The 25,233-nt window shown below is 40.1% G+C and overlaps 1 protein-coding gene across 3 annotated transcripts in view, besides 1 other annotated feature; it reads right to left on the bottom strand.

Moving 5' to 3' along the window:
- ACO1 (aconitase 1) overlaps positions 1–917 on the bottom strand; it is a 70,127-nt gene extending 69,210 nt beyond the window's left edge. For all 3 annotated transcript variants that reach the window (NM_001278352.2, NM_001362840.2, NM_002197.3), the window contains exon 1: positions 825–917. The gene's annotated coding sequence lies outside the window, so the exon portion shown is untranslated. The remainder of the gene's footprint in view (positions 1–824) is intronic.
- Positions 737–1,116: a silencer, noted in NCBI's record as "silent region_19825". NCBI's record gives its function as "represses an Ori minimal core promoter by ATAC-STARR-seq in GM12878 lymphoblastoid cells {active_cell/tissue: GM12878}" and the evidence as "EXISTENCE:reporter gene assay evidence [ECO:0000049][PMID:35858748]".

Below are 25,233 nucleotides of genomic sequence, written 5' to 3'. Positions count from 1 at the left end.
ATAGGCAATGTTAAGATATAATTAGTTCACTATTCTTTTTAAATGAATTATTATAGTACAAATTTCTCAGTCTTACTTACATATTATAAATATGGATAGATATAACACACATAAAAGCTCCTTAAGATACTAATTTTTAAGAGTGTAAAGGAGTACTGAGTACCAGAAAAGTTTGGGGACTTCTGTCCTAGAGGTTGTCCCCCAGGGAAGAGAGTTACATGTGTTGCAAGAAGGAAGATGCCATTATGATGTGCTAGCTGAATCTAGAAAAAAATGACTTGGTCATAACTGCAGCCCAAGCTCCTTTCTAGATCTCTGAATCTATCATGGTGGGCTCTGTGTTCAAGCCTCCCACGAAGGGTCTCTTCCCCCTCATCCCATTTTCCCTTTACCCCTTGGAGTGGATTCCCGGATCTGCCCGCACAACTTTAGCAAGGGTTTCCCTATCCAGCCAGCCGGGCCTGGGCGAGGACTCCCAGTGCGGGCCTCACACCCTCGGGGTTAGGACTCCCAGGACTGGCCGCACACCCTAGGCAAGGACTTTCAGGACAGCACGCACAGCCAAGGCTAAGAAGGGTCTAGGAAAGCCACTTCCAATCCCTGGTTTCTCTCCCCGGCATGACATAGACTGGGGACAGGGTGGAGACGTCAGTCGCCAGAAACACGTCCCCGATTCTCCTCTCAGCCTCCCCAAGCTCGCCTCCGTGTCCCCCGTGCCGCCACTGCCTCGGGCACCTCGGTAAAGGCCCGCACCGACTCTCGAGGGATACAGGGTGGACGGCGCTCCCGCCTGGGGACGTGGGTCGGGCCGCGTCGGTACTCACCTCCGACTGCACGGCGGGGCTCCCGCGACCGGCGAACCTGACCCAAGCAGCGGGACGCGTTCCCGTGCGCTGCGCGGTTCCAGCTGCCGCCTCCACGCTCCGCCCCCTCTCGCCCCCGGGGCCGCCGCGCGATGGGCGGAGCAGGGGCGGGAAGGGCGGAGCAGGGGCGGGACGGACGGGCAGCTAGCCGAAGAAGGGGCGGAGCCTGCGGGCGCCCCCGCGGGCCTGGAGGACTTCGCCCCGGGCTGGAGGCTAGGGTTGCGAAGGGCTCCTCCGCTGGAAGTGGGAGGGCTGATCCCTCGGCCCGGGTCCGCTTCTGCCAGCATGGGACCTGGGACGAGGGTGTCTGTTGCTCACTTTGGAGCTTAGCATGTGACTCCCCAGCCGGCGTTAGGAAGTGACCAAAGGGTGGGGAAGAAATGGAATTATTTTTAAAAAATGATTTGGCCATAACTGGAGAGGCTTCATGTACGTGTGGTCACTTGGCCCGCCTCCCTTCTCACTTTGTCCGTCCCCACCCTACCCACCCTCTCCACCCTCGCCTTAATTCTTTGCGCAAAGCCTGCCAAGTGGACATCGGAGTCACGCTGTCAGAATAGGACTTCAGCATTTCCGTGGCAAAAGTTCTATATGTAGATTTCCTTGGACATGTAACAACACTTTCTAATGCACGATGTTCACCGGTCTGAAGTCGGAGAAATGGCTGGGAGATGGCAGCAAGTGGGCTTTCACAAGATCTGCTTTTCATGTTGGTAGGAGTTGTGCCCTCTTGGGTGAATGGCGTTCAAAGAAGTGATTAGATCTTTCTAGATGAAAGGTGGTGAGGTTTTCCTGCCCAAATTATTTGGAAAGTTACTGTAGTTTTCTGAATAAGCAGCTTATAGGATGAGTAAACAATAGCCAGTACTAATAGCCCCCCTGCTACTTTATACTGCCCTCCTATTCTGCACAAAGCCCTGTGATCGACTCTTTCCACGTTATTCAGTTCAGCTCTTCCAACCACCTTACAAGTAAAGAATATTACCCGTCTTTGCAGGTGTGCAATGCGCAACAGCTGAGACTCAGTCCTTAGGTTGGTTTGACACCAAAGCCTACACCTTCCCTGTCATACTGCACTATAGGGTACAACTATCGTCTAGTTATATTTAACTTTGAAATATAAATACTTATATTTATTTTGAAAGGGGAAGTAACTGTATTTCCAATATGAGAGGAGACTGTTTTCCCACCCACTTCCTAAATCCTTTCCATTCACATTAGTAATTAAATTTTCTTTGAATGTCCACCATATGGCAGAGGTGCACCACAATCCCTGAAAAATCATGCTCCAGTCCCCTTGGGAGGTAGGGAGAGTAGGGGCAAGGTGAGAGTGAGTAGAAGGCTGGGGAAGTCCGATGAGGACACATCCAGCTAAATTGCGATTCTTAATGAGGCAGCCATTCGGAAAGCAAAGTATCTAATGTTCAATGATAACATCCGTGTAACTGAGAATCCTTCGCAGAAAACAATCAAATCAGAGCTATGAAGGGAATTGAGATTTATTAGTAAGCACGCTGGTCAAAACCGTGAAGGAAATAGTTCCACATCCCCCCAGTCTGTTGCTCTTGGACGTTGTCACCAGTGACGTGCAGATCGTGAATCCCAGGGCCTGTCCTCTGTTCCTGTCCTTACTCACTACTCTGTGGTATTTGACACTGGCGATTCGTTTTCCTAGAAATGTTAACCTCCTTTTGGCTTTTCAGCCCTCCGCTCTTAGGAGTCACCTCTTCCCTCTTTTGTCCCTCTTTTTTAAGGTCTTTCCCTACACTCTCTCCTCTTGCTTTATATGTTTCTCCATTTGCTGAGTTTTTCTTCATCTATTTTCTCAGTATGCAGACTGCCTGCCACTTCTAGCTGAAGCCTGCTATGTCTCTGTCATTGGTCTTAGTTAACTTTCTGACCTTCACACTCTTGATTTGCAGCCATATGTGGCAACCCCACCTGGATATTCCAAAGGTGTCTGTATTAGACCGTTCTCACGCTGCTGTAAAGAACCCTGAGACTGGGTAATTCATAGGGAAGGAGGTTTAATTGGCTCACAGTTCTGCATGCTGGGGAGGCTTCAGGAAGCTTACAATTATGGCAGAAGGGGAAGCAGGTATGTCTTACCTGGCAGCAGGCAAGAGAGTGTCCTCTGAATGCACAGTGGTCCTCCTGAATGCTTTGAGGGGACCTTAGAATCCCTAAATTTTTCACTGAATATATGTCTTCATACCAGAGAAAATTTGAAATAAACGTTTTGTTCCTCTTTAAGAAAAAAAGAGTTAAATTCATAACAAGGAGAGGCAGGTCTTAGCCTCATCTTGGCTCCCGGTAAATATCCAACGGCTCTCCCCTGATGCCCTCTTCCCACCACACCTGCTATACGTTTAATTTTCGTGCTCTCTTAATTACTGCCTAAGGGCCTGATCCCTGAGCTGCCTTCCCAGGGAACAAGAATCCTCTGGGCAGCTGCTTACAGTTTCTCTCAGTATAGCTAATAATAAAAATCATCCCCATGATCCAATCACCTCCTTCCCTCCACAGGTGGGGATTACAAACCATATCAGTGCCTGTCATTCATCACATCTAAAATGGGAATTTAGTGTCTTCTCTAACCATCTGTCTCTCCCCTCCTATCCATTTAGTTTCTTTTTCATCCTAATCCTGCATCCCGAATTTGTATTTCATGATCTGCTGAGAAAGCTAAATGTTTAAGGGGTATATTGCCATGGCATATTACTACGCTCTCACAGGGTCCACCTAACAAATATTTCTGTCACGATATAAAAGGTTCTGCTAATGGCCCAGCTGAGGGCATATACTCTAGGGACCTTCAGAGAGGATGCCACCCAAGCATGTAACTGCTCAGGCACCCCAGCTGTGCTCTGGTGGGGGGCAGAGGCAGAAGGACCTTCATTTGAAGTAACAGTATTGTTTTAGCAGCCTTACCTGCTAGAAGGCTCTGCTGCTATAAGAAGAACCATGAAGATTCTGCCAGAGACCTGTTGAGCTCTGAGGAATGCCTCATCATATTCCACACCGATTTCAGTTACTTGTATATGCTGGACTTCCTCAGTTTATTGAAAGGTCCTAGGAACTATACCCAACTAACTTTGTATCATGCTTTACAATTTATACTGCATTTTCACATACATGTCATTTAATAGGAAGGGAGAGGTGTAAGAGAAAAAGTCAAGCATAACGCTTCTCAAACCTTGGGGTACATTGAAAACATGCGTGCCTGTGTTGTGCTCTTAGGAGGCTGAGTTTGATGTGGGTGGTCAAAAGACCATGCTTTGAGAAACACCAATGGTAGTTCTCCGAATCTGGGTGTTTCTCAGATTTACCATAGGGCACTGATAAAAATATAGCCTCCTGTATCCTCTGCCTCCTAGAATGTCTGATTCATTAGGTCAGGGTGGGGGTCTGTGTTCAGATTCTGAATACGCTACATTTTTACCACAGGTGATTCTGCTGTAGCATGTCCCCAGATTGGCACCAAAGACCTGTTACCTAGAAATATACACTCCATGAGGGCAGGGGCCCATGTCAGTTTGTTCATCATCCCTAACATGGAGTCTGGTGCATAGTAGGTGCTCAATACAAGTTTGTTGACTGACTTACTGTCAGTGTCTTTCTATTGCTTACCCTTTGCTCTCTGTTGGCCTTTGCGCTGTTCAGAGTCCTCTAGAGTGGCACGGAGGGAAGACATCTGTTTGGCAATGAATGAAGTATAAAATGGTCCTCCTGAATGCTTTGAGGGGACTTTAGAATCCCTAAATTTTTCACTGAATATATGTCTTCATACTAGAGAAAATTTGAAATAAATGTTTTGTTCCTCTTAAAATCAAAGTTATATTCATAACAAGGAGAGGCAGGTCTTAGCCTCATCTTGGTTCCCGGTAAATAGCCAACTGCTCTCCCCTGATGCCCTCTTCTCACCACACCTGCTATACGCTTAATTTGCATGCTCTCTTAATTACTGCCTAAGGGCCTGATCCCTGAACTGCCTTCCCAGGGAACAAGAATCCTCTGGGCAGCTGCTTACAGTTAAGCACCATTCCTCTCAATATAGCTAATAATAAAAATCTTCACAACCGCCTGTTGATGCTGGTAACATTGTTATTGCCATAGTTTCACAGATGAGGAAACTGAGATTCAGAGTAGTTACACAGAATGCTTCAGTCATGAAACTTAAAGGGTGATCCTGGGGTTTTAGAGAAGGCTGGCCTCACTCCATAGCTTGTGCTTTTAAGCATTATGCAACAAAATCATCAGATACCCTGAAGCTGTAAATTATTTGTTCTTTGCAGAAGAGGGACTTAAATGTTCTAGAGAAAAGATTTGTTCTATCACCATATAGGCTGGAATTCCTTATTCACGTATTTCCAGGGCTTGTTCTCCCTGATGATAGCACAGAGATCCCTGCTGCAGCCATGTAATGTAGGGACACCTGGGTAAAGAGAGTCCTCATTCTGGGGGATGGAGGTGTTGGAAATCAGGGGCAGCTTGAGTATGAATTCCAGGATTGGTACATAATTCCTAGGTGTCTAGTACCATCTTTCACATGTGTTAATTTGCTGGATACTTTTTGAGTACTTTGTGTTATATATTTTTCAGAAGGGAGAGGGAAGTACTCTGCAGGATTGGTCCTTTAAATTATTTAGGTATACACAAAATAAAACATTTTTTTCAAGAAAATAATTTGGTAATGTTGACAAATGAGAGTAAAAATAAAAATTTGTCACTAATTTGACTCATTTCTAATTCCAGTTTATGATGAGATTACTTCCACATGTCAGTTTAAGTGCTTTTTAAATTTTCTTCTTGAGACAGGATTTTTCTCTGTTGCCCAGGCTGGAGTGCAGTGGCAGGATCACGGCTCAATGCAGCCTCGACCTCCTGGGCTCAAGCAATCCTCCTACCTCAGCCTCCTGAGTAGCTGGGACCAAAGGTGTGTGCCACCACACTCAGCTAATTTTAAAATTTTTTATAGAGGTGGGATCTCCTCATGTTGCCCAGGCTGGTCTCAAACTTCTGAGCTCAAGCAATCCTCCTGCCTCGACCTCCCAAAGTGCTGGGATTACAGGTGTGAACCACTGTGCCTGGCTCTAAGTGCTTTTTAAAATGGAAAATCCTCTTTCCCTCCTCCCTTGCCCCATCCTTGGTGGGAGGAAACAGCAAACATTTCGTCTGTTCCAAGTTCATCCTTCAAAGTACCATGCAGATTAACTTAACCAGATGATGGTGAGCTACTGCCCTCTGTTGATGAGTGTGTGGTAAACACATTGTCAAACAGAAAAAGCTGAGAGGATGGTTAGCATTAAGAGAAAAAACAATTGGGCGACAGAGTGAGAACTTGTCTCAAAGAGAGACGGAGAATAAGTATTAAGAAGACATAAATGGATTAAGAAAGCTACCTTTTGTTCCTTAATTTCACATTTACTGACTGTCCTAGAAGTTAGAGAGCAGAAACTTAATCAGTCCACAAACTGGCTCTGCTAAGAGCTTGGTGTGATGAGTCCAAAAATGACTATGATTAATTCTTACTCTGAGGGACCTGAGAACTTATTGTTTTATTATTTTCCCACAGCTTTACTGATATTATTTTAATGTTTGCCCACGATAGTACAGCATTCATCTTTCACATATCAAAATCTAATGTTAATTGTTATTTTTTATCTTTTTTTCCCCAGATAATTCCAGGTTCTTACAACCTTCTAACTTCATGTACCCTCCTTTTGATTTCTATGCCATTGTTATCTTGTATTTTATAGTCACACATTGTAACTCTTGAAGGCATTATTATTTCTGTTTATAGGGTCAATATTTGTTTAGATTCAAGCATACTTTTACCATTTTTGTTGACTGCTTCTTAGTAGTTCCTCTCCTCCCTTCTCCCATACTTGGTGGGAGGAAACGACAACAGACGACACAGAAAGATACATTTGTCTGTTACAAGTCCATCCTTGAAAGTACCATGCAGGCTAACTAAACCAATGATGGTGAGCTACTGCCCTCTGTTGATGAGTATGTGGCAAACACATTGCTAGCCGTAAAAAGCTGAGAGGATGGTTAGCATTAGGAGAATCAATAATTGGGTGACAGAGAGTGAGACCTTGTCTCAAGAAAAGACAGAATAAGTATTAAGAAGAAAACATTTTCTACTGGTGATAAATATTCTCAGGCTTCATTTGTTGTGAAATGTCTTTATTTTACTGTCTTTATTTTTTATTTATTTATTTTTGAGACGAGTCTCGCTCTGTTGCCCAGGCAAAAGAGTGCAATCTGGGCTAACTGCAACCTCTGCCTCTGGGTTCAAGTGATTCTCGTGCCTCAGCCTCCCGAGTAGCTGGGACCATCGGCGCCCACCACCATGCCCAACTAATTTTTGTATTTTTAGTGGAGACGGGGTTTCACCGTGTTGGCCAGGCTGTCTCGAACTCCTGACCTCAGGTGATCCACCTGCCTCGGCCTCCCAAAGTGCTAGGGCCCTCACTCTGTCACCCAGGCTGTAAGGCAGTGGCACGAACACAGTCCATTGCCACCTTGACTTCCCAGGGTCAGGCAATCCTTCCACCTCAGCCTCCTGAATAGCTGGGACTACAGGCATGCACTACCATGCCTGAATAATTTTTAATTTTTTTTATAGAGACAGGGTCTTACTATATTGTCCAGGCTGGTCTGGAACTCCTGAGCTCAAGCGATCCTCCGGCCTCAGCCTCCTAGAGTGCTGGGATTATAGGCATGAGCCACCGTGCCCAGCCTACTGTCTTTGTTGAATAACATTTTTTCTGGATATTAAATATTGGATTGGCAGTTATTTTTTTCCAGCATTTAAAAGTATCAGTCCAGGCCAGTCACGGTGGCTCATGTGTATAATCCCAGCACTTTGGGAAGCTGAGGTGGGAAGATCACTTGAGCCCAGGAGTTCCAGGCAAGCCTGGGCAACATGGTGAGACTCTATCTCTAAAAATTTTTTTTAAAAAATTAGCCAGGCGTGGTGGGATGTGCACAGTCTCAGCTACTCAGGAGGCTGAGGTGAGAGAATCTCTTGAACCTAGAAGATCGAGGCTGCAGTGATCCCTGTTCTTGCTTGCCACTTGCACTCCGCCTGAGTGACAGAATGAGACTCTACCTGAAAAAAACAACAACAAAAAAATCAAGCCATGTCTTCTGGCTTTGCTAGCTTTTGTTGGAAAGTTCATTGTCAGTCTAAATCTTCCTGTTCTCAAAGTAATGTTTCTTTTCTCTGGCTACTTTTACAATCTTCTATTGTCTTTTGTTTTCACCAGTTTGAGTTTTCTATACTTTTATTCTTTTCTGAGATTCATAGGACTTTCTGAATCTATAGCTTAATGTATTTCAGCATTGTTGCAAAAAAATTAATTATTGTCTTTTAAATGTTGCTTCTGTCCTATTCTCTGTCTCTTTTCCTTTTGGAATTATAATTTCACATATGTTAGACTGTCTTACTATAACCTTTATGTCTCCTATGTTTTCCATTCTTTAGTCTCTGTCATTCATTCTGGGTATTTCTTGTTGACATGTCTTTTTGTTACTATAAAAGCAGTGGATTCTCCAATCTCACTTTTCCTCATCTACAAAGCAGATTCACTATGCTAAGCATTCCATCTGGGCCCCTGCCTATTTCGTCTGTGGGATTTAGTGGCAAGGGGAACTAATGCAATCTTATTTTCATGCTACTTGTTACGCATGTAGTGAAGTACTTTATCTCTGACCCAAGAGCCTCATGTCTTCTGCCAACATCCATGAAGCAATAACAGGCTAAGTTACTAGCTTGTATATAGGGTAAAATCCCAGACCCTGACAGTTTGGGTGACAAGATAGGGTGCTGGCTGAGGTGTGCCTTTCTGGAAGACCCCATGGGCTGTGTTAGTAGGACCCAGTAGCAAATGCCCTCACCAAAGTGGGGAGCAAGGGGGAAAGTACATTTCTCTCACTCTCCTGCCTGTTAATGAATGTTTACAGGCTAAGCAAGAGGCAAGGTTGAAACAATCTTCCCAAATGGTACTTTGATTGTGCTCACTCTCCTCAGGAACAGGAAGAAGGGACTTTATATGACAATTAGGCCGCAAAAGTGGGGAAGCCAAAAGTGGCTGTATCTGATTGGTCAAGGAGTCCCCCCAAAGCTTAAATAATGATGTCATCTGTAAGTAGATACAGCTTCAGGTGGACCAAAGCCAGATGTTCACTTGAATGAGCCCAACCTGCTGGTAGCTGCTTGAAATGGAAAGCTGATGCAAACTGGCTTACTGGCCTGAAACTGCTCTTTCCCTCTGCACTTCCTGACCCTTCCTTTCCCCTGTACCCCAGCCTCAACTGCTTTAAGGAAAATGCTGAGTATGCGGGGGAACTGAAAGGAGGGGAGGAACTCAAATATTTTTAGCTCTGTTGAATATAGGTGCCCAAGTCATAATCCTTCCCAGTCTCATGAATGGAGAGGGTGCTGGGCACAAGGATATCTAAAGGTACTGAGGATTGTAGGGTGCAAGGGAATTTACCCTGAGCCTGGTTGGGAGAGACAAAGGATAAGAAAAGCCATCTTCTCCCCTCATCTGCATCCCCCTTCCAGCAGCTATTGTTACAGTCCTGTTATGCCTGTTAGACTTCTTGGTCCATATTTCTATAGGGCAGTGTTTTTCAACCAGGGTCATTTTGTCCTCTCCTCCCACCCAGGGGACATGTGACAATGTCTGGAGACTTTTTTTTTTTTTTTTTTTGAGACAGAGTTTCATTCTTGTCGCCCAGGCTGGAGTGCAATGGCACGATCTTGGCACACTGCAACCTCCACCTCCTGGGTTCAAGTGATTCTCCTGCCTCAGCCTCCCAAGTAGCTGGGATTATAGGCACCAGCCACCATGCCCAGCTAATTTTTGTTATATAATTATTATTATTTTTTTAGTAGAGATGGGGTTTCTCCATGTCGGCCAGGCTGTTCTCGAACTCCTGACCTCAGGTAATCTGCCTGCCTTGGCCTCCCAAAGTGTTGGGATTACAGGCGTGAGCCACTGTGGTGGGCCTGGAGACATTTTTGATAGTCACAACTGAGCCGGGGGACGATGTGGGGGGTGTTCTACTGGCATCTAGTTGGTAAAGCAGGGATACTGCTAAGTTTCCTACAGTGCTTGGGAACCCCCAGACAAAGAATTAACCACTCCTAAATGTCAAGAATGAACCTCTGCCATGGGGGAAAATGTGCTCCAAATTCAACTGATGGGGTTTGGGCAACATTTTTTCCATGTGGGAGGAAAATTAACGTGACCTTGTAGGACCTTTAGGGCCAATCCAACGTACTGTTTGCTGTGTCTTTCACTGATGAATGTATAATTGGTGTTCATGTTGTACGTGCTTGTGTTGTGAATCCTCATGAAGCCCAGAGGAATTCTTCTATTCAAGGACTGTGGCATGTGGAGGGGTAATCTCTGTCCCCTTCCCAGTAGTATAGCAAAGAGAATATAAAACCTGAGAAGAAATGGAAATTAAAGCTTTAAAGACTTAATGGCTGCAGTATTCAGGAGGCAATTTCCTAGTAACAACTGATGCAAGCACCAAGTACACCTCTTTTAAAAACAGGGGCTTCTGTTGTCCTGTTGCTGAGCTATTGACCTGTATAGACTTTGGGTCAAGAAGCTGAACTGCTGACCCATAGAAGCTTTGTGACTCTGCAGCCTGATGTCTCCATTTTGGAATGGGTTATCTTGGATTTGACAACCTATAAGGAAAAGGCCCGATATATCTCAGTTGTCAAATGGAAATTGTAATATTCAAGGATAGAGTTGGTCTGTCCCCAGTAGCATCTCAGTTTACATGAAAGAGTGGCAGCTATCATTTTAGGGAAAATATTTTCATTACACTGCTTGAAGTAAGGCCACCAGATCAATGAGGCCCTTGATTCACAGTGTTTCTTTCAATGCCTGGGCCTGGTTTACTGATGGTTTGGCTAAGTTGAAACCTGTTGGTGTCCATTAGGCTGCTACAGTAGTCAATTGCTGCTCTGTACATGGCACCCTGAAAACTGATATGCTTGTCCACTCAGTGGGAAGAATTTAAGACCATTCTCATAATTCTGCCCAATACTTCCCACAAAAGCTTATATTTTTACTAACTCTTGGGATATTGCCAATGATCCAGCCATTTGGTCTGCTATATGGCCTGTCACTTACAAGCCTATAGACTAACAGATTAAAGATACTTCTCTCTCAGGAAATGAACTGTGGAAATAAGCCATCGCTGATGATAAAATACCTAGGCCATTCATGTTAGATGATGTTTGTATTAAGAACCCATTCTCCAGTGAGACCTACAGAAATCAAGCTGTTGATCCAGCCTGAAATGTCCAGCTCATTTCTTCTACCACCTTAATCTATCACTGTATTAGACATGGCCACATATATATCATCATTGACTTGGCACAAGATAAAGGGTTATACACTTCTAATGTGGAAGCTACCAGTGTGTGTCAGACTTGAAACTCCTGTCAAGGATTGGCTGGCTGGTCTTGTGGTGAAGGAGGTTGCATTGCACAGGTATGAACTCTGTCCATTCCTGGTACACTGACAGTATCGGACCTTTGACCTCCTTCTGTATCTACTGGTGGTGTCTCACTGCTCTTGATACTTTTCCGCAGTCCAATCAGCCAACTCTGTCTGTACTCCTGTGGCTCTTGAGACTTGATTTTCTGGACCATTTGCAGCCTGACAATGGTACCACTTTTGTGACAAAGGTCACCCAATGATAAGCCCATAATCAAGAATTCAATTCCATGCTCCATCTGCAGGCATCTGATATTGTTATGTATTGACTCAACAATACTTCTCAAGATCCTTGACTTGACTCAAGTATTGACTCAACAATATCAGATGATATTGAATCTGAAATGGATTTCTCACAAATTGACTTAAAAAGATTTCAACTCTACTTTTCTCACCTCCTCCTGTAAAGAGTAGTAAGACAGTATGGTCACTAAATGTGGTTGTCTCCAGAACCATAATGGAGACAAGACGTGGCCAAGGGGTTATTTTCTGGATACTAATCAAAATGAAAGGACAAGGGTTTATATAGGCCTATTTTGAAAATCTGGAATTCTGTACTAACCATTCTTGGACACAATGGATCTTTCTTTACCCTAGAGCAACCCTAGACCAGTGGTTTGTACATCCTCCTACCTTTAGCAGTGTAGCCAAAAGGGATACTATGGAATTAAAATTGATTCTGATTCAGCCATCAGGATTCTCTTTTTGGATTAACACGGTCCAATATGAAGACAATAGTTACCTGGTTGAGTACACTGCTTGCTGGATTAGCCTATGGAAAATGCAGTGGCTTAAAAGAACACAAACTTATTATTTTACACTTCTGGAGGTCAGAAATCTGAAATGGGTTCCATTGGGCTAACATCAAGGTGTTGGTAAGGCTGCATTCCTTCTAGAGTCTCTAGAGGAGAATTTATTTGCCTTTTCTAGCTTCTAGACACCACATGCATTCCTTGGCTGTGGCCCCTTCCTCCATCTGCAAAGCAATGAACATGGCATCTTCACATCTCCGCCTCTGCTCTGTTGCCACTTCTCCTTTTCTGACTCTGATCCTCTTGCCTCTCTCTTATAAGAACCTTTATTATTACATTGGGTTATTCCAATAATCCAGGATCTCTTTCCTTCTCAAGATTCTTAATTTAATCACATGTGTTGTCCCTTTTGCCATGTTAAGTATGGCATCTTTGCCATCTTTGAAGGCTCATTATTCTGCCTTCCACGTCCTTTTTGCTCCTAAACTTTCCAGAGAAAAGGTTTGTATGTAAGTAGATGATTGAAAAAAGGTGAAGTTACAATTACTTGAATGGGACCTGATTTCATGGCACAGAAGAAGAGTAACAACCGTGGCACCTGGGGCAGGAACATCCTTGACTCAGGAGGTACAGGGGTGGGGGCACTTAATAATATCTTTGTCTCCTAGATCCAACACTGGTGTCTGTGTTAAACAGCAGGTGCAGCTGACAATCTGTAGACATGGCTTCTCTTGAATTATTTTGCTGTGCCTGATGTCATGAATAGCAGCTCTCAGCATGGGCCCCTTTTACACATATATAAACACATAGACCAGTACAACATTGTTTCATTCTGTTACAAATTCACATGCTTCTTTGATGCTGAGAGGTCTTGGGTTATGCTGTGTATATAGTAAAGGAGGCTACAACTGCTCAGTGATACTGCCCATGTGACTTAACCAAGCCAAACCGATGTAATGCTGATCCAAATAACATTTTAAGACAAATCCTAATAGGAGTTACCTGTGCCTGTTTGGGTTATACAGTTGTATGTGGCTGAGAATGGGCCATAGAATGTCTCTCTACTGAGGATGGTGTTGGATTTTTGTTCTGTTTAATGCCCCTTGTAATTATTGGCAATGACACCAAAGATCAGGAGGTCAGTGTAAATTCCCTTGTATTGGTTGCAATGGATAATAGACTGGCCATAGGCCAGATTACATCCTGACTGTCTGAAATAAAGTCTCCTGTTCTCCCCTGGGACAGTTGTCTGAGGGCAGAGCCCTGGAAGGAATGATTGAGGCCAATACTGCAGGTTAATTTTATCCTGTTGTTTGGAGTCCCTTTGATGGTAACCTTAATTAAATGCTATATGAGACCAATTGAACAGGTTTAGTTCTAGCCCTGATGGTCAAATTAATCCGAGTGATCAACAGAGTGACATACTTATGTGAAAGTTTATGAGAAGCCAGTACACATAGGGACAGAGGGAGGATTGAAGATAAAGGCAATCTCTCACAGGTCCTGAGTATCTGTGCGCATTTTTGCTGGGTGTGCCAAGAATTCAAGGCCCTGACTGCTCTTTACCCAGGCCATTTCTCAGGGTTGTGTTTTAGTGAGCAACCATGAGGGTTTAAATTTTATAAAGTCAGGTATTTTCTTGAAAATTATTGCATTTGAGAGGGGGCAAGAAGTGAATGAGTATATAGATGAAACAATATTGTCCAAAACTTTATAATTGTTGAGTCTGGATCATGACATAATTGTGGATCATGGATGTGTGTGGGCTTAAAGAGCAGGCTTTCTTACCCCTTACTGTGAAAACAGTGAATCTCCAAGCTCAGTGTTCCCTGGCTGCAACATAAATCCATTGTATGTGTTGCATCCTTCTGGGTCCCTCTGCATCATCCTGGTGGGACTTTGAACAAGGAGACCAGATGCAACATGATACTTATGCTACTTGCTGTGTCATGAGTAATGATGGGACTCATATGACCCAGGAGTCTTGTGTCTTCTGCCAATATCCATAAAATAGTACAGGCTCTTATTAGATTACAAGTAGAGTAAAATCCCAAACTCTGACAGGTATCTGTGTTTTGGTTTTGGCTATGGTGTTTGGTTGAAATCACAAGGCACAAATTTGGCCATGTAGTTTTGTTATTACATTGAGGAAAAAATCAGCTTGTCATGTATCTGCACCAAATTTTACCAACCTGGAAATTTAGAACTTTACTATTTAGTGAATTAAAAATTTTTATTATTATTAATAATAACCATTTACAAAAGAGAATATTTTAATGAACTATGAGACTATAATAATGAACTATAATGAGAATATAATAATGATGTCTATAATAGTTTAAATATTACTCATTTTCAACAATTATCAACTCATTGCCAATTTTGCTAGTTTTATATATGCCTTCCATACCCTGACTGAAGCACATTTATAGTCATATATTTTATTTGTTATATATTATGTTTTAAAATCATTGACTAGAGTTTTCTTTGTTGTATAGTATCTGTATTCTCCATGTTTTTCAAGACCTATATTGTGAATAGAATATGTAACTTCATTAATAATACAAATAAGCATTACAATTCTCCACCTGAAATATTTTGTAGGCAACCAAAGCTGTATATAGTGGCAAATGTATAGCCTTAAGTTCTGTAGCTATTTAAAAAAAGAGAAACTAATGAAGTTAGAAAAAAACTAAGGGAAATATAAATTAGTATCACAAAATATCAATGAAGTAGAAAATATATAGAATTGACACTAATTCTGAGAACAATATCTTTGGAAAAAACATTGAAATATACAAATCTCTGACAAGTTAAATAAAAATGGGTTTAAATATGTGAACATTTATTGAGGTATATAACTACAAATATGACTGTTAGAAAACTTAATGTAATACTGTGAAATACTCCATGCAAATAATTTTGAGACTTACAAGGAGACAGACCATTTCCACAAATATATATATAAAACTTATATCCACGGTAGATTCTACTCCTCAGAGATTCAGTTGATTTTGTTTCAGGTGCTGACTTCTGTTCTTTGTTACAGTCTAAAGTCCTCCTCATGCTTAGGGATTTTGTGTCCTCTTCATATTTTTCTGAGCAACCGCATTCCTGCATCCCTGTAGGCTGTCATTATTGTCCCAGCAATATCCGACATGGGTCAATTTGTCTCCTTTCCTGGTTCTACATGGAAACCACTTGTATTAGGCCATTCTTGCATTGCTATAAAGGAAAATCTGAGATTGGGTAATTTATAAAGAAAAGAGGTTTAATTTAGTTGGCTCACGGTTCTGCAGGCTGTACAGTAAGAATGGCGACGGCATCTTCTTGGCTTCTGAAGGAAGCCTCAGGGAGCTTTTACTCACGGCAGGAGGCTAAGCAGGGGCAGGTATGTCACATGGCAAGAATGGGAGCAAGAGAGAGAAGGGGGAGATGCCACACACTTTTAAACAGCCGGATCTCACAAGAACTCACTCAGTATCATGAGGACAGCATCGAGCAGATGGCTCTAAGCCATTCATGAGTAAACCATACTCATGTTCTAATCACCTCCTACCCGGCCCTAGGACAGTGGGGATTACAGTTGCACATGAGATTTAGAGGGCACAACATCCGAGCTATATCATATCATATCACAGTAAGGCACTAGAGCAGGGGCTGGAAAACTTTTTCTGTAATGGAGCAGATAACAAATATTTTAGTCTTTGTTGGCATTACAGCTTCTCTTCCTCCTCCCTTCTCCTTCTCCTCCTCCTCCTCCTCTTCCTTCCTTTTCGTCTTCTTATTTTTACAACCATTAAAAATATAAAAACCTCTTTTAGCTCTCATGATTTATAAAACAGGTTACTGGCTGTATTTGACCTATGGGCAGTAGTTTCTGACTCCTGTACTAGAATATAGTGGCTAAAAAATACAGGCCCTAGAGCCATGTTGTCTTTAAATCCTGGGTTTGAATCTAGGATTTGTAGTTGTGTAGTAGTTGTGTCACATGTAAAAAATATTTGACATCTCTGTACCTTAATTTCCTCACCTAGAAAACAGTGGTAATAATAATTTTTACCTCATAGAGTCGTAATGGAGATTAAATAGGCCAATATGCATACTATGTTCAGAAGAGTAACTGGCACATAGTAAGTGCTCATTAGATGTCAGTTATTATTGTAAAGCCTTTTATTTTGTATAGACTATTTCTCTTCATTACAAGAGTAATGGGAAAGGGTCTAATCTCATACTACATAGCTGTCTACCATCTTTTTCTTTCTCATTTCTACTCTCTTTCTCCCTCCTTACTTTCTTTCAGGTGTAACAAAGAAATTCCTGTTTTTTGTTTGTTTGTTTGTTTGTTTGTTTGTTTGTTTTGTCAGGCATGATTGTTCTTTCTGCAGTCAGGCTTGCTTACAGTCTTACATTCTATACAGAGCAGGCCTATTGATTTCATTCTGTCTCTAAGAAAAATTCATCTGAATGCATTTCTTTCCTTCACAGGATTACATATAAATTACCAAAAGATGACTGTAAAAGAAATGGAAAACCTGGCTAGTACAAAAATCATGCAAGAAATAGGAAGAATTATCAAAGAGTTACATCCAAAAATGTTTTTAACCCAGATGATTGAGACTTTTAAACTGACTTACTATTGGAAAATGTCAAACTTATAAAAATAATAATCATATAATAAAGTCCCATGACTCAGATTCCACAATTATAAACTCTTGGACAGTATTGTTTCATCTATACTCTCACACAGTTCTTTCCCCACATCTGATAATGAAATATCTGACTTCCTTGCTTTTTATTTTTTTGAGATGGCATCTTATTCTGTTGCCCAGGCTGGAGTGCAGTGGTGCAATCTCAGCTCACCGCAACCTCCACTTCCTGGGTTCAAGTGATTCTTCTGCCTCAGCCTCCTGCATAGCACCTGCCACCACACCCAGCTAATTTTTGTATTTTTAGTAGAGATGGAGTTTCACCATGTTGGCCAGGCTGGTCTCGAACTCCTGACCTCAGGTGATCCACCCGCCTCAGCCTCCCAAAGTGCTGGGATTATAGGTGTGAACCATCATGCCCGACCTTGACTGAATATTTGTATCCACAAAAAATTTATATGTTGAAGTCTAACCCCCAATGTGATGGAATTTGGAAGTGGGGCCTTTTGGAGGTAATTAGGTCATAAGGGTGGAGCACTCACGAATGGGCTTAGTGCTTTTAAGATGAGGCCAGAGGGTGAGCTTGCCCTCTTTCTGATGTGTGAGGATACAAGGAAAGGCTGGCTATCTGCAACCCAGAAGATGACCCTTTGCAGAACCCAACCAGGATGGCATTGTGATCTTGGACTTTCAGTCTCCAGTAATGTCAGAAATAAATGTTTGTTGTTTAAGCCACCCAGTCTATGGTAATTTGTTATGAGAGCCAGAACTGGCAAAGATAATGTACACTAAACAGTAGGCCCTGGCCCTCTGTATTCATGGGTTCTTATCCATGGATTTTGCATTTGTGGGTTCAACCAATCATGCATTGGAAATAGTCAGAAAAAAATGAGTGGTTTTGTCTGTACTGAACATGACAGATTACTTTTCTTGTCATTATTACCAAATAATACAGCATAACAACGATTTATATAGCATTTACATTATATTAGGTATAAGCAATCTAGAGATGATTTAAGGTATGTGGGAGGATGTATGTAGGTTATATGAAAATACTGTACATTTTTACATGTCTCATTTTTGCATTAGAGACTTAAGCATTCATAAATTTTGGTATCCAAGGAGTGTTCCTGGAATTAATCTCCCACAGATACTTAGTGATGACAATATTTTGTTTTATTTTTTAAAATTAAAAAATTTGTTACAGCCATAATGCTTGTATTTTTATTATTTATTTATTCACTTATTTATTTTAAAGACAGGGTCTTGCTGTGTCACCCAGGCTGGACTTCTCAGTGGCGCAGTCATGGTTTGTTGTAATCTTGAACTCCTAGACTCAAGTGATCCTCCTATCTTAGCCTCTGGAGTGGCTAGGACTACAGGTGCATGCCACCATGTCCAGCTAATGTTTTTGTAGAGATGGGGTCTTGCCATTTTGTCTAGGCTGCTCTCAAACTCCTGGCCTTAAGTGACCCTCCTGCCTCAGCCTCCTGAAGCACTGGGATTATAGGCATGAGCCACCGTGCCTGGCCTGTATTTTGTTTTAAAAACATACCCACAACATTGTCACATTAACAAAGTTAAAAAAAATTCTAAAATATCACCAAATACCCTATATGCGTTCAAATTTCCCCAGTTATTTTATAAATTTTAAGATTTTTTTTGTTTAAGTCAGTATTGAAAAAGTTCTATAACCTTTTCTCTGTTAATTTATAGGTTTACGTTCTCTTTTTCTTGTTGAATAAATATTTTTTAAGGAAATAAATGTTTGTAGTATAGTGTTCTACCATTTGTATTTGGCTAAGTGTGTCTTTATAATGTTATTTAATATGTTCTTCTGTCCCCTGTAAATCAGTGCATGTATCTTGAGACTTGATTAGATTCAGGTTCAATATTTTTCACAAGAATGCTTTACAGATAATGTTGTATACTTACATCAGGAGACACATAATATCTCATTGTCTTTTTTTGTGATCTGAACAAACATTGGCGAGCATTGCCTAGACTCATTAATCATTAGGGTCACATTGGAAGATATTCTAATTTTGTAATTTCTCATTTATTTCTTCTGTAATTGAAAAGCTTTTCTTCATTAACTACGTGGTTGCCCTTAGGTTTAACTCCCACAGAAAAAGCAAGATAAATGCTTGATTCTCCCCCCTATTCCTTATTTATTTATTTATTTATTACTAGTTTTCAAAATAATTTGGGTCTCTATCATTCTCCAAAAAGACCAATTATTTGTTTTTTCTTAATATCATTATAAACTCATAGATTTAGACATTTTCTTTGTTTAAAATTCTTGCATTTTATTTATTTATGCTTAAATTAGTCTATCTTTGGTCAGTGGGACTCTCTTCAAGTTGGCTCCTGAGTTCTTCTGGCATAACCCAGTTGTCCTTGATAACTTTCTACCTTATTGGTATAGCAAGAGCTTCCTCACTCGTTTTGTATTAATACATTTTCTGCTTTAGACCTAGGACCTGCCATTTCTCAAAGAATCCCTCATTCTTTTTAGTGATAAATGGTATTTAGAGACTGTGATCCGGGCACTAGGGGTGCTCAGTGCTATTGTGTTCATCTGTAAAGAAATAATGCCTTTTCAGTGAATTGCTTTTGCTTGTGGATTTCTTTGTTTATAAAATATATCATGATTTCATACCAACACACCTGATTCAAATTTAGGATTTATTTAATTTCAACTTCTTATTGCTATACCTCCTTTCTCCTATTTTGAAAATCCTGCTCCACAATGGTCTTGACATAAATAATCACTACTTTGTACCATATTATGTGCACAACAGTCTAAGAATAGAATTACCATCAATAATGGTGGAATCCCTAATAAGTTACAAGTACAATAAAACAAATCACATGGTGGTATCACGTTATGATTTTGATTTGCATTTCTCTGATCGTTAGTGATGTTGAACATTTTTCCATATATGACCATATATGACCAACAATATAATTATTTAAAAAATGCTCTGTATATATTTTTTGTACTTCTTGTTGTACTTAGGGTATATCCTTCTAAGAATGTACAGCCATAACTGTTTTATCTTCCATTTTTTTTTTGAGACAGAGTCTTGCTCTATTGCTCAGCCTGGAGTACAGTGGCAATCTCAGCTCACTGAAGCCTCCGCCTCCCAGGTTCAAGCAACTCTCCTGCCTCAGCCTCCTAACCAGCTGGTATTCCAGGCATGCGCTACCATGCCTGGCTAATTTTTGTATTTTTAGTAGAGACAAGGTTTTGCCATGTTGGCCAGGCTGGTCTTGAATTCCTGGCCTCAAGTGATCCACCCACCTTGGCCTCCCAAAGTGTTGGGATTACAGGCGTGAGCCACTGTGCCTGTCCAGCTGTTTTTTAAAGTACTAGAAATAGTTTCTGTCTGTATGGTTATGCCACTAACTCAATATTTAGTTAGATTAATTTGTTTTGTTATACCTGTAACTTATTAGGGTTTCCACTTTTAAAAAGTTAATTTTATTTATGATTATATAAATTATTTTTATGGTTTCAAAGTCAAATCTATTAAACAAGGTACATTCAGAGAAGCATGGCTTCTATCCCAATCTTCTTCAACCTGTTCTTTCCTACCTATAATGGGTGTCTTTTTTTTAATCCTTCCATTTAAGTAAACAAAAGCAAATATGTGAATATACTCATATTCTTCCCTTTCATAGACAAACAGCAGCATACTACACATATTCTCTCTCCCTTTTTTTGCCTAATCACATATCATGGAGATCACTCCATAGAAGTATAGAGAACCATTTCTATGTTCTCTATTATGTGCATTTACCATTGATAGACATTTTGTTTCCAACTTTTGCTATTATAAATAATGCTTCGAAGAAAATCTTAGAGCATTTTTTTGCATAAAGTTTTAGAAATGGTACTGATGAGTCTAAGGGTAAAGTCATATCAATATTGCTAGATATTGCCAAATTCTTTTCTGTGTCAGTTAGGGTCAAATTCAGAAACAGAAACTGTTCTGGTTATTAGAACCAATAGAATGTATTAATTAATTTATTTTTAATTTCAATAGGTTTTTGGGGAACAGGTGGTGTTTGGTTACATGAATAAGTTCTTTAGTGGTGATTTATGAGATTTTGGTGCACCTATCACCCAACCAGTGTACACTACACCCAATATGTAGTTTTTTTATCCCTCATCCTCCCCAGGCTTTCCCCTGAGTCCCCAAAGTCCATTATATCATTCTTATGCCTTTGCATCCTTATAGCTTAGCTTTCAATTATGAGTGGGAACATAAAATGTTGGGTTTTCCATTCCTGAGTTACTTCACTTAGAATAAGAGCCTCCAATTCTATCCAGCTTACTGCAAATGCCATTATTTCATTCCTTTTTATGGCTGGGTAGTATTCCATGGTATATATCTATATCTATATCTATATCTATATCTATATCTATATCTATATCTATATCTATATATCACATTTTCTTTATCCACTTGCTGATTGATGGGCATTTGGGCTGATTCCATATTCTTGCAATTGCAAATTGTGCTGCTATAAACATGCATGTGCAAATATCTTTTTTGTATAATGACTTCTTTTTATTTTTTGAGACAAAATTTCGCTCTTGTCACCCAGGCTGGAGAGCAGCAGCACGATCTTGGCTCACTGCAACCTCTGGCTCCTGGATTGAAGAGATTCTCCTGCCTCAGCCTCCTGAGTAGCTGGGATTACAGGCACGCACCACCATGCCCGGCTAATTTTTGTATTTTTATTAGAGACAGAGACAGGGTTTCACCACGTTGGCCAGGCTGGTTTTGAACTCCTGACCTCAAGTGATCCGCCTGCCTCAGCCTCCCAAAGTGCTGGGATTACAGGTGTGAGCCACTGCACCCTACCAATGACTTATTTTCCTCTGGGTAGATACCTAGTAGTAGCACTGCTGGATCAAATGGTAGATCTACTTTTAGTTCTTTAAAGAATTTCCACACTGTTTACCATAGTGGTTGTACTAGTTTACATTCCCACCAACAGTGTAAAAGTATTCCCTTTTCACCACATCCATGCCAACATCTATTATTTTTCGATTTTTGATTACGTCCATTTTTGCAGGAGCGAGGTGGTATCACATTGTGATTTTGATTTGCATTTCTCTGATCATTAGTGATGTTGAGCATTTTTCTATATGTTTGTTGGCCATTTGTATATTTTCTTTTGAGAATTGTCTATTCATGCCTTTTGCCTGCTTTTTAAATGGGATTTTTTTTTCTCGTTGATTTGTTTGAGTTCTTTGTAGATTCTGGATATTAGTCCTCTGTCAGACGTATAGATTGTGAAGATTTTCTCCCACTCTGTGGGTTGTCTATTAATCTGTTGATTATTTCTTTTGCTGTGCAGAGATTTTTTAGTTTAATTAAGTCCTATCTATTTATTTTATTTTATTTTTTGAGATGGAGTCTCTCTCTATCCCCCAGGCTGGAGTGCAGTGGTGCGATCTTGTCTCACTGCAACCTCTGCCTCCTGGGTTCAAGCGATTCTCCTGCCTCAGCCTCTCAAGTAGCTGAGATTACAGATGTGTGCCACCATGCCTGGCTAATTTTTTGTATTCTCTACTAAAAGACAGGGTTTCACCATGTTGGTCAGGCTGGTCTCGAACTCCTGACCTCAAGTGATCTGCTTGCCTCAGCTTCCCAAAGTGCTAGGATTACAGGCATGAGCCACCATGCCCAGCCTATTTATTTTTGTTTTTGTCACATTTGCTTTTGGGCTCTTGTTCATGAAGTCTTTGCCTAAGCCAATGTCTAGAAGGGTTTGTCTGACGTTATCTTCTAGAATTTTTATGGTTTCAGGACTTAAATTTAAGTCTTTGATCCATCTTGAATTGATTTTTGTATAAGGTGAGAGATGAGGATCCAGTTTCATTCTTCTACATGTGGCTTGCCAATTATCCCAGCACCATTTGTTGAGTTGGGTGTCCTTTCCCCACTGTATGTTTTTGTTTGCTTTATTGAAGATCAGTTGGCTGTAAGTATTTGGCTTTATTTCTGGGTTCTCTATTCTGTTCACAGCTGAGATTGACATGGGAAGCCCTGTGCACTGGGGACCCAGACCTTGAAAAAGAAGGGTGGCCAGCTGATACTAATGTCTCTGTGGTGGATAGGGGTTTACAAGTGCAAGAAAAACTAAAAACTGGATATTGCTTTGAATATCTGCTGTGGGCAGATATTGCTGCTGTCAGGGTGAAAAGCATTGCAGGACTCACTCATGGAAATTGCAAGCAGACATGAAGTCCAAAGGAAACAGAGCGGGAGGAGCAAGTCCCTTTGTCTTCCTCTAGTCTCTCAGGCTCCTGGTGCTTCTATTGAAGGAGCCTAATTCAGAGCCATGTGACAAAGCAGAAAGATAGTTTGAGAGTCCTGGTCCTTGCATCAAAAGCAGAGTATAAAAGGATAGATTTGGAACTGAGAGGCAGCAATTTAATAATCTCCATGGATATGTTCTCCAGGGGTATGGTAGCATTATTATTTTTCAAGTGACAAGTAAAAATTGTGTAAATTTATGGTGTACAAATGATGTTTTCATATATGTATACATTGTGGAATGGCTAAATCAAGCTATTTAGGCATTACTACACATACTTTTTTTGTGGTAAGAATGTTTAATGTCACTCTCTTAGAAATTTTCAGATGTATAATACATTGTTATTACCTGTAGTCACCATGATGTGTAATAGGTCTCTTGAACTTATTCTTTCTAACTGAAATTTGGCATCCTTTGACCAATATCTTCCCAGCCCCCTGGTAACCATCATTATACTCTCTTTCCATTAGTTCAACTTTTTTGGATTCCACATATAACTGAGATCATGCAGCATTTATCTTTCTGTGCCTGGCTTATTTCACTTAATGTAATATCCTCAAGGTTTATCCATGTTGTTCCAAGTGACGGCATTTTCTTCTTTTTTTTAAGACTGAATAGTATTCCATGGTGTATATACACCACATTTTCTTTATCCATTTTTCCACCGATGAGCACTTAAGTTGATTCTTTATCTTGGCTATTGTGAATAATGTTGCAATGAATGAAAGGGTGTAGATATCTCTTTGAGATCCTGATTTCATTTCCTTCGGATATATAGTAGTGGGATTGCTGGATCATGGGGTAGTTCTATTTTTAGTTTTTTGAGAAACCGTCATACCATTTTCTACAATGGCTATGCAGATTTATATTTCCACCAACAGTGTACAAAGGTTTTCTTTTCTCCATGATGTGGTGGTATAATCATGCATGCCCATCACTAAGTGTGGGAGTGCCTGTTTCACTACGTCCTTAGCAACAGAATGTTTTGTTAAGCAGTTAGATTTTTGCCATTAGATGTTTCCTTTAAACAACAGTTATTTATCATGCCTTGTAAACAGTTCCACAGAATAGAAAATGATGGAAATTATAATAGCGCTCACTGCTTTTATGCTTATCATATATAATGGCATTAATAATGCTTGTAAAACACTTCACAACTATACAGAAATACAGCTGACACAGACTAATGAACAACTCTATGACCAAGGATAAATGATGGTGCAAGGTAGCTTAAACCATCTGTTAGCAACAGTGATATACTTTCGGGGGAGCCTTGCTCTGTTCCCAACAATTGAAGTAGAGAAACTTCTGTATTTTTATCTTTTTGAATTTTATAGTTTGTTTCACTCAGATTTAAGCCTAGAACAACTTTTGGTATAAAATGAGGCTCCTTGTTAAAAACTTCTTATTCTTTGCTTATTTTAAGATTAACTACAAAAATCAACATGTAGAAAATACCCCCATAGGTTGTTTCCATTTAATATGTACTTTTGACATTCATAAATATTTTTTACAAAAGTTGGTTTGTCATTTCAAATTTTTATACCTTTACTAATGAAGTAATTGTTTCTTATCTCTAGTTTCCTGAATCCGATATTCTTTTTAGAAAACATTTACTTTTCTAATTTTTATTTATATTAGAATTCTAAAGAATTGATTAAGTTGATTCTTTATCTTGGCTATTGTGAATAATGTTGCAATGAATGAACGGGTGTAGACATCTCTTTGAGATCCTGATTTCATTTCCTTTAGATATATAGTAGTGGTATTGCTGGATCATGGGGTATATAATAATATAAATAATTATTTACATTAGAATAATATATATAATTATTCATATTACTTATTAAATAATAATTATTAAATAATTATTATATATAATAATCATTTATATATAATTATCATTTATATAATTATTTATATTATGTTATAATATAAATAATTATTTATATTATATTATGTTATAATATAATTATATATATTATATTATAATATAATATAAATAATTATTTATATTACTCTAATATAAATAATTATTTATATTACTCTAATATAAATAATTATTTATATTACTCTAATATAAATAATTATT

The sequence above is a fragment of the Homo sapiens genome, chromosome 9 (genome assembly GCF_000001405.40).
Source record: "Homo sapiens chromosome 9, GRCh38.p14 Primary Assembly".
In the NCBI taxonomy this organism is placed as follows: domain Eukaryota; kingdom Metazoa; phylum Chordata; class Mammalia; order Primates; family Hominidae; genus Homo; species Homo sapiens.
The sequence above is the reverse complement of the archived record's forward strand: the minus strand, read 5'-3'. Positions and strand labels throughout refer to the sequence as shown.